Source organism: Homo sapiens, chromosome 3 (assembly GCF_000001405.40).
Source record: "Homo sapiens chromosome 3, GRCh38.p14 Primary Assembly".
Lineage (NCBI taxonomy): Eukaryota > Metazoa > Chordata > Mammalia > Primates > Hominidae > Homo > Homo sapiens.
Genome location: NC_000003.12, coordinates 45,986,994 through 46,005,386, shown reverse-complemented (window position 1 = coordinate 46,005,386; position 18,393 = coordinate 45,986,994). Strand labels below are relative to the sequence as shown.

Here is an 18,393-nt window from a genome sequence, read left to right as displayed (position 1 = left end):
TCATGCAGTTTCATCAGAACCCTTCTGGTGTCCTCTACAGTGCACTACTGCCACTTCCCAGGGCAAATGAACAGCCTCTAGGAGCTCTAAGATTTGAGGCCCATACTTAATAGGAGTATCCCAAGCTGTTAGGTACCCCCCTTTCCTTTCAGATAGCCACATGGACATGAGACACCAGAAAGGCGTATTTAAAATCTGTATACATGGTTATTCTTTTTCTTTCCCTAGTTTTAGGGCTCTGGTTAGTGCAATGAGTTTGGCTACTTGCACTGAGGTCCCCGGGGACAGAGCTTTAGCCTCCAGAACTAGATGAAGGGACACTATAGTGTACCCTGCATATCTAGTTCCATTCCAGACAAAACTACTTTAATCTGAAAACCATATTTCGTCCGGATTATCTAGGGGCTGATTCTTTGAGTCTTCCCAGCTGGCATAAATTTGGTTAAGTATCTCACAACATGAATGTGTTGAGTTATAGTCTCCTCGTAGTGGCAGTAAGGAGGCTGGGTGAAGGGTGGAATACCACTCAACTGTTACCTGTTGGTTTTCTAACAACAAGACTTGGTACTTTAGCAGTCTGTTATCAGTGTGCCATTATGGCACTTTTATGTTCAATAAGGGGCCTACTTGCTGGAATGTCAGGAGTCGGACTGACAGTCCCATGGTGATTTTAAGGGCCTCCTCAAGTAGGATGGCCACTGCAACAAGTGTGACCACACTTGCACTACTGGGTCTAGGTTCTTTAAAAATAATTCTAGGAGAAGTACCTCCAGATACTCAGTTGTTTTCAGTCTTAGACCTCAAAGACACTTTCTTTCGTATCTCCCTAGACTCATCCTCCCAATTTTATTTGCATTTGAGTAGGAGAATAAGAAAGCAAGGCATCAACAGCTCACCTGGACAGTGCTTCCACAAGGTTTCACAGATAGTTCCCATTTGTTTGGGCAAGCCTTGGCTAGAGATTTGCAGGACCTGACTCTTGAGGTGGGGCAGATGGCTCCTACAGCCTACCGGATGTTTGATTGGCTCGATGGTTTGACTTAGAACTCCTAGGGCTACACCTTGCCTTTCAGTGACAAAAAGCTGAAATGGATTGGTTAGTGTGAGTAGCCCAAGGTCTGGGGCTTGTAAGAGGGCAGTTTTTAGCTGTATAAAGTCTTGCTCCTGATCATTTACCCAAAGAAGTGGGTGCCTATCAGTCCTTTCTTTTAGAGCCTGATATAAGTACTGAACAATCCCACCATGTCCCAGTATCCAAACTCTGCAATATCCTGTGATCCCTAGAAAGGCCTGATGCTGCTTTTGGGTGGCTGGGAGAAGTATTTTAAAGATGGCCTGTATCCATTCTGGGGAGAACTTATGTTCTCCAGGGGTCATGATTATCTCCAAGTATTGGACCTCTTGTCTTAGTAGCTGTGTCTTGGCCTTGGACACCTTGTGCCCTCTGTCTGCCAGTAAATTTAGTGTCTGGACTAGATGTTGGATTCCCAGCTGTCTTGTGGGGGAGCAGATTAACAGGTCATCCATATGCTGTAGGAGCCATCTGCCCCACCTCAAGAGTCAGGTCCTGCAAATCTCTAGCCAAGGCTTGCCCAAACAAATGGGAACTATCTGTGAAACCTTGTGGAAGCACTGTCCAGGTGAGCTGTTGATGCCTTGCTTTCTTATTCTCCTACTCAAATGCAAATAAAATTGGGAGGATGAGTCTAGGGAGATACGAAAGAAAGTGTCTTTGAGGTCTAAGACTGAAAACAACTGAGTATCTGGAGGTACTTCTCCTAGAATTATTAATATATATGGGTTGGGGACCACTGGGACTACTGCCTCATTTATGATTCGCAGGTCCTGGACTAGCCTGTATTTGTCATTGCTCTTTTTTTTATTTTTTGAGACGGAGTTTTGCTCTTATTCCCCAGGCTGGAGTGCAATGGCGCAATCTTGGCTCACTGCAACCTCTGCCTCCCAGGTTCAAGCGATTCTCCTGCCTCAGCCTCCCGAGTAGCTGGGATTATAGGCATGTGCCACCATGCCTGGCAATTTTTTTTTTTTTTTTTTGTATTTTTAGTAGAGAGGGGGTTTCTCCATGTTGGCCAGGCTGGTCTCAAACTCCTGACCTCAAGTGATCCACCCGGCTCAGCCTCCCAAAGTGCTGGGATATAGGTGTGAGCCACTGCGCCTGGCCTCATTGCTCTTCTTAACAGGTAGGATGCAGGTGTTACAGGGCAAGTTATCGAGTATTAATAATTCACGTTACAGAAAATTTTCAATCAGGAGCCAAAGTCCCTCTTTGGCCAGCTGCCTTCTACAAGGATAGCAAGAAGGATCCTTGAGATGAATTACTACAGGCATTGCCATTATGGCCTTTCCATGTATTCCTGTGGCCCAGACCTCTGGATTAATGGAAAGGTCTGTTAGCAGTTCATCCTGTGTGTGGTTTCCTTGAGGCATAAGATTGCATTTGGAAAAGGAGGTGTTGCCTTAGAGGAAAGGTTAACTAAGCCTCTAGTCTAAATAAACTATCTCTACCCAAAAGGGGCATAGGACATTCTGGCATCATTAAAAATGAATGAGAAAAGACAGTTTCCCCCTACAGGCACCAGAGAGGAGGAGTAAATCTTCAGCTTATAGGCACCTCATTTAGCCCCAGCACCAGCGAGGATTTGGAGGATAATTGCTCAGGAAAAGAGGTAAGCACTGAGTAGTCCACTCCCATATCCAAAAGAAAACTTATAGTCCTACCTGCCATGTCCAAAGCAGCCCTTGGGTCTGTCCCTTCAACAGTGATGTTCAATCTGGGAGCTGGCTGATGTGTAGGGCTCCTTCAGCTCAAGGCCATCAGGGGTTGGGATTCTGTCCCAGAGTCCCTTCGATCCTCAGGGCAGTCCCATTTTCAGTGGCCAAGCTTGTGGCAGTGGGGGCAAGCCATGCGGGGCTTTTTTCCATCAGTCCTATTGGGGCAGTTTGCCTTCCAGTGGCCTGCCCTCCTGTGCTGATGGCAGTTACCTGCGAGGGTAATCTGAGGGCAACCTGGAGGGGGCTGGCAGACTTGTAGTGCAGCCAAGAGTTGGAGCTGCTACTTTTCCTTTTGCCTCCCTTTTCCTGAGCTCTTTCCTCCTTCTCCTGGTTTTGGTTGTAGAAGATTGAGGAAGCTATTTTGAAGATATCAGGCCCGGGGCGTTGGGGCCCAGTGCTAGCTTTTGGAGTTTCCTCTGAATATCTGGGGCTGCCGGAGTTAGGAAATGGTCCTTTAGGGTCAGTTGTCTTTCTGGTGTGTCTGGGTCTAGGTTAGTATGTTTCATTAGTGCCTCTTGTAGCCTCTCTAGGGGTTTTCAAGAGGGCCTTGATCTATTAAGGCCGATTTATTATAGTTCATAGGCTCTGTTTTGCTAGCTTTCATTCCTTCTACCAGACAGAGAAACATGTGGTTCCTTGCCCATATACCGCCCCCAGGTATGGTAACCCGAATTAGGGTCAACCTAGGGAACTGCGGTGGCCCCCACAGTGTTGCCACCAGAGTCAGTCATGTGCATTGTAGTTATAAATTGCTGGGTCACCTCTGTAATGGAGTCACATTCTCCCTTAAACAGAGTTTGCCATAGTATGACTGAGAGGGCCCTCCAGGTGAGTTCAAATGTTTAGCCCAGTTTACGGAACGCTTTGATGTATTTTTCAGGGTCTTCCATAAACTTCCTACTTCCATCTTAATCTGGCTCAGGTCTTACATAGTGAACGGAGTCTGGACTCTAGTGGGTCCACTGGGGCTGCTAACCTCTTGAAAGGGGCATAACTTAAGGGGGTGGTGTCCAGAGGGTGGCCCTGGCTAGAAAGAGCAAGGATCCAAGGCTGGAAGACTTGGATATTAAGGGGTAGAAGGGGCAGTGGGGTTTGACCCAAGCTCTGCCCTTGGTTCCTCTGGGGCTTGAGCCCTGGGTAAACCCAATAAGAGGCCTCCCAAACCAACTGGTGGCAGCTGCCTGACAATGGCCGCTATCATCACTGGATCCATTTTACAAGCCTGACAAAGGCCATGGTTGTTTCTTAGGGCCACGAAGGCCTGTACATAAAGGATTTCTGTTCATTTTCCCTGTTGACAGCAAAACAAATCTAGTTGATGGATTGTATTAAAATTTATGCTTCTGTTTTCTGGCCAACATTACTGGTCCTGGAGATTTTATTCAACCCAAGCTGTGTTACAGAAAAATATTAGCCTTTTCCTTTTTAGGGTTTGGGGTTCAAACTTTTCTCCCTTCTTGAGGATGCATCCGAGGGGCATGTCCCATGGTATGAATATGTGATTATCCATCTGTGAAGAGAGAATAGAGGATTAAAAAAAAGGGAAAAAGAAGGTATCCTCTCTTATTTCCCTATTATCCCTTCCTGAACAGGGTATGCCCCATTCATCCTTGGGGCTCCAGAGTGAACCGGTCTTACCTGGTACCCTTAAGCTTGCTCCCATCTCATCATGTTTATCCACCTGAGAAGACAGGAGATACCAGAGTGAATAGGGGTCCCCTTATTCATCCTTGGAGTTTCAGAATGAACTGGTCTTACGGATACCCCTAACCTTGCCTTCATCTCTGTTCTAGGGTAATCTATTCTGTGCCTGTAGCCTGGGACCAGCCTTCATCTCTGTCCGGTGGGTACTTTTGTCTCTTGAGCCTGTGGCCTTGGGCCAGCCTATATCCTTGTATCCATGAACTTACAGTGACTCTCTCAGAGCATTCTAGCAACAAAGTGAGTATCTCTTTTCTTATCATCTCATTTCACATTTTTCTTAAAGTAGATGAGAAGCCTGTGTCTGTACCAGTTCAGCCAACTGCCAGAATGGAATGGACTTCTTTCCCTTCAAATATGACCTTGAAGGTCTGGATGCATATTGGCAAGGGCATGGAAGTGATTCAAGAAATGGAGGAAAACGTGTATGTGAGATTCCTCGTCCTCCTCCCTAACCATCACCTGATGGTTGCCTGACATTCCTTGGCAGGGGTGAGGGGGTCTCCTGCCCTGCTCATGTCTGCCTAGCTACCTGCAATAAGAGACTGACAGCTTCAGGGTGGGGCTGGTCACCATAGACAGAGGCATGATTAGAGGGTTGGGACTTAGCTCCACCACCAACCTACCAAGAGGGGAGAGAAGCTGAAGGTTAAGTTGATCACCAATGGCCAATGACTTAATCAATCATGCTTATATAATGAAGCCTCCATAAAAACCCAAGTGGCCTGGGTTCACAGAGTTTCCATACCACGTGGAGGTTCCTGGGGGGTGGTATGCCCAGGGAGAGCATGGAAGCTCTGGCGCCCCTTCCCCCATACCTTGCCCTGTGTATCGTCTCTTTATCTGTATCCTTTGTAATATCCTTTTAATAAACTGGTAAATGTGTTTCCCTGAGTTCTGTGAGGTGCTTCAGTAAACCAATCAAACCCAAAGAGGAGGTCTTGGGAACCCCAACTCAAAGCTGGTCAGTCAAAAGTTCTGGAGGGCCGGACTTGTGACTGGTATCTAAGGAGGGAAGCATGATTCTTGGGTTGTGGGCCCCAAAGTGGCAGGCTCTGACACCATCTTCAGGTAGACAGTGTCAGAATTCAATTGGAGGACACCCAGTTGGTATCTGCTGCAGAAGTGATTGCTTGCTTTGTGGTGGAAAGGAATCCTCAGGAAATGCAGAAGTCTTCTGTGTTGATTGTTGTGGTGTGAGAACAGAGGAAAACCGGTTTGAGAGTTTTTCCCGAACAGTAACTATAATGTATTGAGAAAATGGGACACCACTGGGAGTGAACAGAGGTGCTGTGAATATTCATGCTGGGATAACAGGGCTCTCTTGGCTGAACCAGGAAGTATAGTCCCCTTATTCTGTGGGAAATGCTATTTTCTATTATTATCACTTAAAATGGAAAAAGTCTAAATCTGTATTATCAAGAGCTTATTTTAAAATTTCAAAAGTTTTCAGTTGATGAAGGGTTGAGGAGAAAAGTCAATAGTAGAGTTATGGAGAAAAAATTCTGGAAAATATACATGTCAGAATTCAAACCAAATTCCGGAGCCCTGAGGTCCACATCCTTCTGCATTGTCTATGAATCATTACTGAAAAGCTGTGTTCTGTAGGGGAAGATAGCTCAACCAGCTTAGAGCTGTTGATTCTGCAGTCAACTTCTGATTCCTTCCGTGGGTCTTACACTCGAATTTTCCAGCAGAGAGATTAATTGACCAGTGACTATCAAGAGGAGGCTGACTCTTTTGAGCTGCCACCCCATGCCATTGGCATGGCTGGCATCCACTTCTGGCCTGACCAGCAGGGGCCACAATGGTAGGGTCCTTGGCAGAGCACATGGCTGCCCCATGGAAGGAGCTGCCATCACAGTGGTTAAAGGCTTAAACTCTAATTGGACAGACCTGAGCTCAAAATTTGTCTCTGCCACTATAAGGTTTGGGCTTTAGGCAAATTAGCTAACTTCTCTAAGGCTGTTTGCTTATCTGCTTAATGTGGATAATTATGTATCATGAGACTGATATAAGGATAAAACTAAACCAGGTGTGGAATACACATAACATGGCACCTGGCACATAAAAAGCCCTTAACAATCATTCCAAGAGCCTCATCCCTCCTCAGGGCCGTGGGCACGGTCAGCTTCCCGTGAGGAATAGTCTCCTCTTCTGCCACTTGTTAAGGCTGTAAGGAGAGGGTGTGGGGATTTGGTGATTTTGAATCTGATCTCTTAATGTGTATTCACATCAGAACACAAGAATATGCTGCGTTTGTTTGTATGTTTGTTTGAAAGATTATAGTTTGAAATACTCTGCTGTATCTATAAAGGAAATCCAAGTTAAACTACCTGAACAGTAGTGATTTTGTTAACCTTCCCTGTATCTGACAGTGTGCTGGGTGACAGAAGACCCCTCAGGAGCCCCCAGCTCTACCCCAGCCTCCACCACTCTCCACCACTTATTAGGTGGGTGGACCAGGACAGTCATTTAACCTCTCTGAGCTTCATCTCCTCATCTTCAAAGTATGATAATGAATACTAATTATGTCACCAAGTGGCTGCAAGTTTTAAATATAATGCTGAATGGGTTTTTGTTGTTGTTTTTTGTTTTTTTGCTGGGGGGCTAGGGACTGGCATATAGGTCCTCAATAAATATTAGGTTTGTTTTCCTTTTCTTTTCAAACTCCTTTTGGGTTTAAGTTTCTGTGGTATTATGATGTCTGTCTATCTGTCTGTCTATCTATCTATCTATCTATCTATCTATCTATCTATCTATCTATCTATCTTGGTTTTCTTCCATGGTTCCTGGCTCATAACTCCCATAGCCCTTGTTACAGTCTTTTGTTATGTTAGGTATGTTAGGCTTCAGGAAACCGAATCTCTCTGGCCTTCTGCCCTCCTTTCACCTGCTTTAAGGCAGGACTCTAATCTTCCCCCGCCTTTCTTTCTTTTTTTTTTTCTTTAAGATGGAGTTTTGCTCTTGTTGCCCAGGCTGGAGTGCAATGGCTCGATCTTGGCTCACCGCAACCTCCGCCTCCCGGGTTCAAGCGATTCTCCTGCCTCAGCCTCCCTAGAAGCTGGGATTATAGGCATGTGCCACCACGCCCGGCTAATTTTGTATTTTTAATAGAGATGGGGTTTCTCCATGTTGGTCAGGCTGGTCTCAAACTCCCGACCTCAGGTGATCCGCCCACCTCGGCCTCCCAAGGCGTGAGCTGGGATTACAGGCGTGAGCCACCGTGCCCAGCCGCTTCCCCCGCCTTTCTGATTATAGGTCTTAAGACCCTCCCAAGAGAGGGTCCTCCCCTATACCCTGGGGGAAGCAATGCTGACATCACGAAGCTTCCATAAAAGCCCAAGAGGACTGGATTCGGGGAGCTTCGGGATAGCTGAACACGTGGAGGTTACTGAAGAGTGGTGCATCCAGGGAAGGCATGGAAGCCCCACGCCCCTTCCTCCACACCTCATCCTACGTGTCTCTTTATCTGCATCCATTGCAGTATCCTTTATAATAGACCAGTAAATGTGTTTCTCTGAGTTCTATGAACCACTTTAGCAAATTAGCTGAACCCAAAGAGGGTGTCGTGGGAACTCAACTTGAAGCCAGTCATTCCAAAATTCTGGAGGCCTAGACTTACAACTGGTGTTTAAAGGTGAGGAGGCAGTCTTGGGGACTGAGCCCTCCACTTGTGGGATCTGATACTCCAGGTAGATAGTGTCGGAATTGAATTGGAGGACACCCAGGTGCGGTCCACTGCTCAGTGTGTGGGGAAAACCCCACACACATCTGGTCACCAAATTATTCTCCTGTGTTGATGATTGCTGTTGTGTAAGAGTAGAGGAAAAATACGGTTTGAGGGAGGTTTTTTTTTCCCCACACAGTTTCAAACAAGGATATTGGACCAGATGACCAACATTAAAATCTCTCTCATCCTTAATATTGCATGAAGCTGTTCAGACAGTGGTTGGAGCAATGATTTCTCTTAGACCACTACATTGATTACTTTTCTCTTTGTCATCTTCTCACTCCCCCCGTTTTCTTTCTGTTCTCCTTTCTGTTAACAAGAGTGGAAATCACTTCTATTCATGTACCTCCTCCCAACCCCACCCCCAAACTGACTACTCCATCCATCCAACTCACTGTTTTAGCTACATCTAATTTATAAAATTAGATGGCTAATGAGATGTCATAGCCTAAAATCGACTAAGAAATTGATTTTCTTTCTGTATTATTGTACCCAGACAACACCCTGCTTCCTCAGTTTAGAATGTTGGGCCACCACGGTTCCTGACTGGATACCACGAGCTAGGTCCTACAAGGGAGAGAGCTGTTTCTGGCTTAAATGATGAGAACTAGGGCAGAGAGTAAAGGATAGCCAGCCACAGCTAAGGAATGCAGTCAGTTAGAAGCCAAAGTCCCCGTGTAGTGTTCCTCTTTTCTACTGTGCCCATAGCGGACACTGATTGAATGCATTTTGTTCTATCGTATTCAGTTCCACAGTGCTTTGCAACACCCATCTTATAAATAGAAGTTGGGCTGAGGATGGGGCCAAAGTTAGGGGTGGTAGTTCATAAACACGTAGTTTTTGAGCACTAATTTTAAGTAAGACCCTGATATTAAGAAATAAGGGGGATTAAAAGATGGGAAATTAGGCCCACCAATACATGTTTTTCTATTTCCCAATATATCAAAATATTATCATTTTAACATGCAATCACTAAAAATTAATGAGCTAGTTAACATTCTTCGGACTCTTTGGTACCTAGGTGTATTTCACACTTACAGCACGTGCACGATTCAACTCGAACTAGCTACCTTTGGAGTGCTCCTTAGCCACACAAGAACAGCGTTGTTGTCAAGATGCCAGACCTTTGATTTGTGGCCCTCCGGGGTTGCAGGCGTTAACCTGGGGCCAGCATGGGTCGCGGGTGGGACAGTCGGTCCGGGGACTGGGCGGTGGGAGCACTTAAACCCCGCCCTGCGGAGTCGCCGGGAGTTGTAGTCGGAGCCCCGGGAGTCCGATGGGAGTTGCAGGCCTCAGCCCCGGGGAGCACGCCGGGAGTTGTAGTCCGCCCCCGCCACCCTCTTGGTGTGCGCGTCATGGCCGTCAGCACCGCGTTCCCGTCCTCTTCCGCTTGGCCCCAGAAAGTTTCGGTTCTGCCCGGCGGTGGACCCACGAGCGCGTAAGTGCCGCGGAAGACCGGCTGGACTCTGGGGGCACCTGGGTCGCTCACGATCCCTGAGGCGAGAGCTTCGCTCGGGGCGCGGCTTGTCACCTGTTGCCCTTACAGTCCCCGCCCATCCCAGGTCTCCCTCAGACCCTGCCCGAGCGCCCCCGTCCTTGCCCAGCGGGCCGGGAAGCACCTCGGGCAGGTGGAAGCCGGCCCAGGCACCCAGCCTGCCTCTGTTGGTCGGTTAGAAAGACAGACCCCAAACACCAGTTCCAAGACCCCGGAGGGCGGAGGGCCCGCAAAGGAAAGGAGCCCACCATGCGGCGTCTCAGAACAAGCCTGAATGTCTTAGCGCAGGATGGGGCAGGCCCCGGAGTTCCTGCCTGCGTGGTCTTTAGGAAGTTTAGTCTCTGGCCCAGTTGGGCCGGGACAGCCCAGACCTTCACTTTGCAAGACTCCGCTGGTGCTCGGATCTCTGCCCTCTTCCCAGGAGGGGAAGAAGCTTCTTTCTTCCTGGCCCATCCTTTGGCCAAGACCTATTCACTATCCACTGCCCCTTGTGCCCATGCGCAGGGTCTCGAGCTAGCCCCCAGGGGTCTTTTCCCGAAACACCTGTTGTCTCTGGTGTGGCGGCACTGCACTGGACTGGAGTCCGTGCTGTTGAAACCTGGCGGGGGTGGGGCGGGGAGGGGGGAGGATGGCGGGATTTTATTTTTTGTAAGAAAAGCACATGTGGTTGACACGTTAACCGCGTGGCCCCCTGTTAAAGCACATGTATTCTCTGATGTCCCTGTCACTCTTCACTGTTCCCATTGGGTGTCCTCTCCAGAAAAAAAAATAGAACACTTGTTGAAACTGCCTGTGTTGGCCAGAGCCTCTCAGCCCCTCTGCTTGTCTTACCACAGCAGTTTCCTTTCCCGACAGAGAAATGGGTCAGGGGCTTTTGCGGGGCAGAGGATCCAGGGCTTAATCTGCTCACTGGTTCTCCTGCCCGTGCAGGCCTTGTGGTCTCAGGCTGCAAGCTTAATTCCCCTGCCATCTGCCTAATGCGGCTGGAGGGTGTTGGGGGCTGGTGTGGGGGAGGGGTGGGGAGCTGGAGCTATCATGCCAAGGTTTTCTGCTTTCAGTAGTTCCCACCTTCTGAAGTGGACCCCTGTTGAGTGAGCTCCACTTGACCCTCCCTTCTGTGACAACCACTGTTCTGAAAGCATTGAATGCCCCATACTAGTTGTGCACCGTGGTTATTATCACCCTGAAAATAAGAGCTAATTGTCACAGTGATGGATCTCAGCCTCCTTTGATTAATAGGATCTCTCCTAAAGGCTCTTGCTTTAGGAAATAGAGTTTATCTGTTTATGTTCAAAGTGACTATCTTTGTGTAGCACTTCATTTACTTTTTAAATTGTTTTTAATATTTTATTAGAAAAATAAACATACAGAATCACTGAAAGGATTGTATGGTGAATATCCGTATACTCAATTCTTAATATTTTACTTTGATTTTTTTTTTTTTTTGCAGTTACTTTAGAGATTGGTAACAGTCTCAGGCAGTGATCCTTTAGCTGTTGTTCCGATGACCTTTGCCCCTTGGGGCTGGGTTTGGAGCACCAGTATAATTTCAGGAGCCAAGTTTTTAACCTGGTCCTTTTTGAGGGGGATGGCCCCCATAGATGTTTGTGATGAGAGGAATCACCCATAACAGAGCAAGATCAGAGCAGCTGGTAGCTTTGACCCATATTGGTCACCAAGGCTATGGACTGCTGACTCAAGAATACAAAGTAGGTACGCAAGAAATGGCAGCCCCCTCACCCCCACCCACCCTGCTTCCCTTTAGGGGAGATGTTTAGCTGATAGGTAACTTTTGTTTACTGAAGATTCCAAAGACACAGCTTTGGTGACTCAAGACTAGAATGTCTTTAAACATGAGGCAGAGGAAGTGTGTTGTCTAGCTGTGGTCTTATGGTGGAAATCACTGGTAGGCACCTAGATTTAGGAACCACGTTCACTGCAAGCAGCCCTAGGCAGCAGGTAAGGGTCATTAACTGGTGCCTGTGATTACAGAGGCAACTTGTGAGCACAGATGAGTCCATTATGGTCAGGGCAACATCTGCTCACGTCATGACTGCTATGTTCTTGTCTTAGTCAAAAGATAAACAGTATTTTGTTTGTGAGCTCAATGCCAGTTTCAAGAAAATAAGAAGTCTTTATTGGTATAAGAGCCTCTATCTGAGCAATTAAATAAATCAATAGGGTGGGAATTGGAATGTTTCTGTGGTTCTACCTATGGAAATGCTGTTTACCTTCTTGCTGTTCGTTGATACATCACAAAAATGGCTGAAATGTCTGTACTACCCCCATAATAAGAGCCATTGCCTTGGAGCAAATGGGCCCCATGGCTTTGAGAAGAGGATGATGGCAGAAGCTGTGCTCAGTTAGGCAAGAGCAGTTTTATCCCTTTTCTCACATGGGAGCCAGTCAACCTGTTGATTTTAGTAACTTCCAGTGGTCCTTCCTGTTCACTTGGATCTCTGTGGCATTTGAAAGGCACCAAGGGCCTGTTTCTCATTAGGCCGGATGCCATTTGGAGGATGTGTACATCAGTGTGGTTCTGATGAAAGACTTAAGGAGAATCTGTGGTTTGGGTATAGTATTGTGGCCCTGTGGCTGGGACCCAAGGGCTGATCTGGCCAACTACCTCAGGAATCTAGAGTACTATACCCTAGGCCAGTCCCAGGAACCCGAGTTAGGGGAAGTCCTTAGCATACAAAAGAAAAGCTTGGACCAAAAAAAGCATTCCAAGAAAACCATTAGCATGCAGGGGGCAAGGCCAAGAGAAGAATCCCTATGTGAAGTCCAGGATAGGGCTGGATAGCTGAATCAGAAACAGTGGTTTAAAATGGAGCTGGAAGGAATTTCCTGAAGTTGACTCTGCAGCCCCAGATGCTTTTTCCAGGGTATCTGTAGACTTGGTCAGGAGCAGGGAGGGGACACTTAGAAGCCTCAGCCACTGAGAATGTCTGTTACCCCCCCTTTCCCACCTCCTTCAAGGGTTGCAATTCTTAATTAATTCACATGAAGGAAGTTTACCTCTCAACATTGCATCTGAAAAAAGAAAGGTAGGAAGAGGTCAAATGACTTCCCCAGGACAGATAGAGTGCCTAAAAATAGTTGAGTAAGCTAAATATACCTTGGGTCTCACCCAACCATGGCATGATCTTTGTTGCATAATACATAATGGAAAGTTCACGTAACTAGTCTGATTCCAAAATCTAAATAGGGTCCCATTTGACAAAACTTGGCTACCACTGGTAAGAGAGAAGAAAATATCTTGCTCATTGCTCCAACTCCAGCTTCAGAGCCATCCTGGGTCCTGCTTGCCCCTCCCATCTGCAGCATGGCCCCACCTTCTGCCTCTCTGCACCTACGCTGGCACTGCTGTTGTCATGCTCCTCCCCAAGAAGTGCAACAGAACCCAGGCCCACCAGCACCTCCCCTCCCCAGGTTGCCTTGTTGATGGTGTCACATGCACACTTTCAGGAATGGAGAGACAAGGGCCTTGGGAGGTGTATTTGTGCTAGGGCTGCCATAACAAAATACCACAAACTGAGTGGCTTAAGCAGCAGAAATGTACTTTCTTACAGTTCTGGAGGCTGTAAGTCCCAGATCAAGCCATTGGCAGGTTTGGCTTCTCCTGAGGCCTCTCTCCTTGGCTCTCAGACAGCCGCCTTCTTGCTGTGGCCTCACACGGCTTTTCCTCTGTGCTCCGCATCCCTGGTATCTCTTGTGTGTGTCCAGAATTCCCCTTATAAACTCACCAGTTCCAATTGGATTTGGGCCCACTCTCATGGCCTCATTTAATCTTCATTACCTCTTTAAAGGCCCTGTCTTCAAATGCAGTCACATTCTGAGGTATGAGGGTTAGGGCTTCAACATCGAAATGCGGTGGGGTGGTGTGCACAATTCACCCCCTGACAGGAGGTTTGGGTTAGCAGGGTTGTTTGTGAGGGTGGCGGTGCTTTTCATTTTCCAGGATGGGGTGAAGGAGGCTGTGGGTAAGGCTTCCTCGGGAACCGAACTGTGGTTCACACTTCCTCCTGTCCACACCAAACCCAGCGAGACTGGAGCAGCTGGCCAAAGGAAGGTGTAGGGAGCATGAGCTGGGCAGGGCATGGCCTTGGCAGAGGGAGCAGAGCATTCAAACCCTGGAGGCAGGGCCCAGCCACAGAAGGGCATCGCAGGGATGCCTGAACATAGGCAGAGGGGAAGAAGGGAAGGAGGAGGGACAAGAAGATGGGCCTATCCCTATCGAGGTCAGGCAGCCCATCTGTAAAGGGCCTCACAAGCTGGGTTAAGAGATTTGTACCCATGTCTGACAGCAGTCACCTGAGCTCTCAGGACACCAGAGGTCTGTTTATAAAGAGAGGCTAGGTAGGCAGTGTGGAGTAGACACACTTCATCCATCCCTGAATTATATTATTCTATTCACTCTGGGAATAATAGCTCACAATATTTTTACAATAATTACAACATAATGTTCACAATTTCTACATGGTGTTTTAAGTGCATTATTTTATTCAACATACAAATAATTTATGCTCAATAAAGGAAAATTGAAAAATCAGAGAAATAGAATTTTTTTAAAAATGTGCTCATGATGGCCGGGCGCAGTGGCTCATGCCTGTAATCCCAGCACTTTGGGAGGCCAAGGCGGGTGGATCACGAGGTCAGGAGATCAAGACCATCCTGGCCAACATGGTGAAACCCCGTCTCTACTAAAATACATTTAAAAAAAAAATTGCCAGTCGTGGTGGCGTGCGCCTGTAGCCCCAGCTACTCACGAGGCTGAGGCAGGGGAAATCACTTGAACCTGGGAGGGGGAGGTTGCAGTGAGCTGAGATCGCGCCACTGCACTCCAGCCTGGCGACAGAGCGAGACTCCATTTCAAAAAAAAAGTGCTCTTGTTGCCACCATTGAAAGATTAGTAGTATTTACATCTTTGTACATTTCTATGCCTCAAAGTTTAGTTTGTATGGTGGGGCAAGGATCTATGTGTTTTGTTTTGTCTAATTCATTCATTCATTCAGCAGTAATTTATTGAGGGCTCTCCATGTGCCAGAACTGTGCTAGGGGAAATCATGAACAGCAACGAAGTTTACAGTCAAGTGGAAAGAATAGAGATTCAACAAAAAATTACCATTGTGACAAATGGCCCCAGAAGCCACAGAAGCATAATGTGAGACTCTGCAGTGAGGGCTGAGAATCATGAGCGGAGTACAGTGTGGTACCTTGTATGTTCACTTGTTCTTATCAAAGCACTTACCAGGCCTCAAGTGCTCCTTCTTACTAGTTTTTATTGGGGTATATGTTATCTATTTCTCCTGCTGAGCCTGAGTTCCTTAAAGGTCAGAGCTCCACCCACTGCCCCTTTTCACAGCTATAGCCCCGGCTCCTGGTTCAGGCTTGCCTCTTAATCGTGCTGCCAAAAAATACCTTTTACCTGGCTGGCAGTTTGTTAGCACACAGAAGTTGCCTGCTGCTTCCTCAAGGCCATGTTTTGTGGCTATGTCATATTCTATCAGAGATTCAGTTCTTAGTTCATAACTAGCTGGATTGACCCCCTGACACTTCGGTCAGGAGAGGTCCCAGAGCATATAATTTTGGAGATCTGTAGTTTTTCCCCATCTAGGTTGGGCCTGTATTCTTTGGAGCAGGAGTAGATGCACCAGTTGAGTTCTTAATTATTGATGCAGTTGTTCCAGAGATTGTCCAGATTCTCATGCCTGTCATTGTCACCTCTTGGATATTTTCTCAGCCCCACAGCGTCAAGTACAGAGGTGTGGCTCCTCCCTTGAGCAACTGCCCACCTCACTAAAAAAAGACTTGGCTTCCCCAGATCCAAAAGCAACACCTCAGAGCCCTCTAAGTCCTGCTCTCTGGGGTCCATGGACTCGAATAGTGGCTGTTTTGTATGTGTTCTGGGAGAGCAACCAAGGAAACTGCTATTGTTGGTGGGGGGAAGGGGACCAAGAGAAGGTTGAAGAAGCCATGGCAAAGCCTCAAGTTCTCATTCCCTTTATGAAAGAGAGAAGATGACAAGCAAAAAGGAGTGTTTGGGAAAGATGACCCAGGCATGCAGTGGGTTAACACTTTAATCATAGGTCCAAGGGGTTGGGTCACCTAATGAGTCTTTGTTCACGTGTGCTGAAATGCCTGCCTCTGAGCTGGCCTCTGGCAAACTCCGGAGCACTCTCCTAGCCACCCTCTTGAAGCTCTGGGAAGGGCAGTCTGCCTGCCCACTGATTGTTCCAGCCCCTGGGCCAGCAGGACCTCCAGGCCTTCGAAGCTGCAGGTACCAGCCAAGTGCCTCCCTTTCTGTAGGTGGTAACTAGATAGTTGCCGTTGGGTGTGCTGAACCAGGCCTAGGCAATGGACTCTTCCAGAAAGGCTTTTCTGCCTTTTTAACCATCCTTGTCCTTAACATTCTTTCTTGGTCAGGGGAGACTTTACAACTGGTAGGCTCCTCCTTATTTGGGACTGGGGGAGGAATCCAACTGTAAGGTGTCCTCTCTGGGTCAGCCCTTAGCTATTGTGTTGGGAGCAAAATTTTGAAGGTGGAGAAAGGTTGACTTCCACGCCTCCAACCTCCTCCTCCCCTGATGATTCTTCTTTCCTTGTGTGACTACTCAGATGCTGTCTGAGCCAGTTTCTGGGCAATATTATGAGTATTAGTCACTTGGACCATAGCATAAATAGGTTTGCATGAGTCAGTCAGCATCTTTGTATCTTAATTTGACTAAATTGCCGTTGCTATTGTTTAAGGCATTTAGGGCATCTGGGCAGGTATAGAAAAAACTTGGAGGTCAGAGAAGGTCCTTTACTTCTAAAATGATATCTAGGTCATGACTAGGAACTCATACAGTAGTACCAAGTGAAAAATAAGAATTTTAAAAAATGCATTGAGTCCCTTTTCCTCTTTGTCAGAAAACTGGATGTTTTCAGACATTTTGGATAGGCTTAAACATAATTTTGAGTTGTTGGCAAGGAAATTCAATGCTTCCAAAGATTTTATAAAACGCATTTCTCTGATATTTGAAAGAGCCTGTCAGAGACAGCAACGAAGGTTTTTACATGTTGTGCAACAAGGACTGTGGGTTTATGAGGTGATTGGCACACTGGGGGCCCTGTGAGGTGTGTGAGTCCTGGAGTCCTTACGCTGGTGCTGGGGCAGCCGTGGTAGTATGTACAGAGCTTTGAGTGTCTCCTGAGTTAGGAGAGCCATTTGCTAATGGGTTGTAGATGTCAGGATCAGGCTGGTTCATGCCAGGAGTCTGTGATTCCCTCAATGAAAGGGCAAGCTTATCTAGAGACACAAGGAAGTTGGCCATGTTTGGAGAGTGATCTTGCCCATTCTGTGCCTTTTGTTGGTTAGTAATGACCTCAGACCGAGACGGAGGAGCAAGGAGGGCAAGATGCTGAGTTCCTGAAAATAGCATCCCCATGGTGACCATGTTCTCTATGGAAGCTCTGATTTACTTCCTGAATCCCTGTGAGGTGATGACCCAGAGCCAGAGTGGGGAAGCCCACCACACCCCACAGGCCTGGCAGGCAGTTTCTTAGGGCTCATTATGCTGGTGGCGACACAGGCTCTTTGAAAAATCAGCTTGTGTAATGAGTGGCTGGGAACAGCTCACCCCACGACCTGGGAACTTGACACCAGCCAAGAGCACACTCCCAAGGTCAGACAGAGAAGGTCTCCTGCCTTGGGCTCACACAAGGGCAGTGTCACCAAAGCACCAAGAAGTCTTAAAGGAGTGTGTTGCCATCTGTGTTCAGGCTTATGATGCTGTTTGGGTTTGCAGACATTGTTTCCCTTGTGCCAGACTCCAGTTAGGGCTGGTTTCCAGAAAATCCAGCTGGTTGGTTCCTTCATTGTCCTGGCCGCAGCCCGGATGAGTTACTCAGGATCTGTTGTTGCTATCACCTCCTTCCCAAGCTCCACCCTCTCCACAGACATGGTCAGAAGTGTACACACAGACCCAGTGGGCTGCATTTAAAGATCACAGGGTATCACTCCAGTCGTCTTTCTCCAGGATTATTTCTCTCAGAGACTGCAAACTCCTCTGTGTTGGCAGCAGCCAAATAAGAGGAATGCAGTTAGAGAAACAGCCTTTACTCTTGTGTGCCTCCGTCCCAGCATCCTTTTCTTTTTGGCTCTCTCCAGTGACTGCCTGTTCACTTTTTAGGCCTGGCCATCACAGAGTGTCTACCACTTCTCCCTTCCCCAAGCTGAATTAGATTTTCCCTTCCTCAGATCCCACTGCATTTTTTTTTATAAATTCATCCCAATGCTCCTTTTTTGTGAGATATAACTTATAGTTATATGAGTTGTGACAAGTGTATGTTTGTCAAATACATATAGTCATGTAACCATCACCGTAATCAAGGCAGTAAACAGAATTGCCCCCCATATTTTCCTGTGCTCCTTTGTAGTCAGACTCTCCCTTCTCCCCTAGACCCTGGCAGCTACTGATGTGATTTCTCTCCTAATGATTTGCCTTTGCCAGAATAGCATATAAATGGGATTGCACAGTTGTGGTGGTTTGAGAGGCTTCTTTGACTCAGCACAGGGCATTTCAGATTCCTCCATGTTGTTTTGTATGCCCATAGTTCATATCTTCTCAGTACTGAGTGCCCATGACTTTTTATCCATATCTCTACGTGAGCCTCTTCCATTGTATCT

At 47.2% G+C, this 18,393-nt stretch overlaps 1 protein-coding gene and 1 long non-coding RNA gene across 14 annotated transcripts in view, besides 5 other annotated features; one reads left to right on the top strand and one right to left on the bottom strand.

Annotated features, from left to right (window-relative positions):
* Positions 1-4,139: 4,139 nt before the first annotated feature.
* Positions 4,140-9,484, bottom strand: LOC105377063 (uncharacterized). Its single transcript, XR_940799.3, has 3 exons — positions 9,298-9,484; positions 4,432-4,474; positions 4,140-4,303 (listed from the first exon to the last, which is right to left on the bottom strand). It is a non-coding gene; the product is annotated as an uncharacterized LOC105377063 (long non-coding RNA).
* Positions 9,265-9,764: an enhancer, noted in NCBI's record as "H3K27ac hESC enhancer chr3:46037115-46037614 (GRCh37/hg19 assembly coordinates)". NCBI's record gives its function as "activates a minimal SCP1, AML or CMV promoter by ChIP-STARR-seq in naive H9 embryonic stem cells {active_cell/tissue: H9 hESC(naive)}" and the evidence as "EXISTENCE:reporter gene assay evidence [ECO:0000049][PMID:30033119]".
* Positions 9,535-9,694: an enhancer, noted in NCBI's record as "active region_19789". NCBI's record gives its function as "activates an Ori minimal core promoter by ATAC-STARR-seq in GM12878 lymphoblastoid cells {active_cell/tissue: GM12878}" and the evidence as "EXISTENCE:reporter gene assay evidence [ECO:0000049][PMID:35858748]".
* The window catches only part of FYCO1 (FYVE and coiled-coil domain autophagy adaptor 1), a 77,922-nt gene continuing 69,091 nt past the window's right edge, over positions 9,563-18,393 (top strand). For all 13 annotated transcript variants that reach the window (NR_170107.1, NM_001386430.1, NM_001386426.1 and 10 more), the window contains exon 1: positions 9,563-9,665. The gene's annotated coding sequence lies outside the window, so the exon portion shown is untranslated. The remainder of the gene's footprint in view (positions 9,666-18,393) is intronic.
* Positions 9,715-9,764: an enhancer, noted in NCBI's record as "active region_19788". NCBI's record gives its function as "activates an Ori minimal core promoter by ATAC-STARR-seq in GM12878 lymphoblastoid cells {active_cell/tissue: GM12878}" and the evidence as "EXISTENCE:reporter gene assay evidence [ECO:0000049][PMID:35858748]".
* Positions 11,810-12,310: an enhancer, noted in NCBI's record as "H3K4me1 hESC enhancer chr3:46034569-46035069 (GRCh37/hg19 assembly coordinates)". NCBI's record gives its function as "activates a minimal SCP1, AML or CMV promoter by ChIP-STARR-seq in primed H9 embryonic stem cells {active_cell/tissue: H9 hESC(primed)}" and the evidence as "EXISTENCE:reporter gene assay evidence [ECO:0000049][PMID:30033119]".
* Positions 16,838-17,338: an enhancer, noted in NCBI's record as "H3K27ac hESC enhancer chr3:46029541-46030041 (GRCh37/hg19 assembly coordinates)". NCBI's record gives its function as "activates a minimal SCP1, AML or CMV promoter by ChIP-STARR-seq in primed H9 embryonic stem cells {active_cell/tissue: H9 hESC(primed)}" and the evidence as "EXISTENCE:reporter gene assay evidence [ECO:0000049][PMID:30033119]".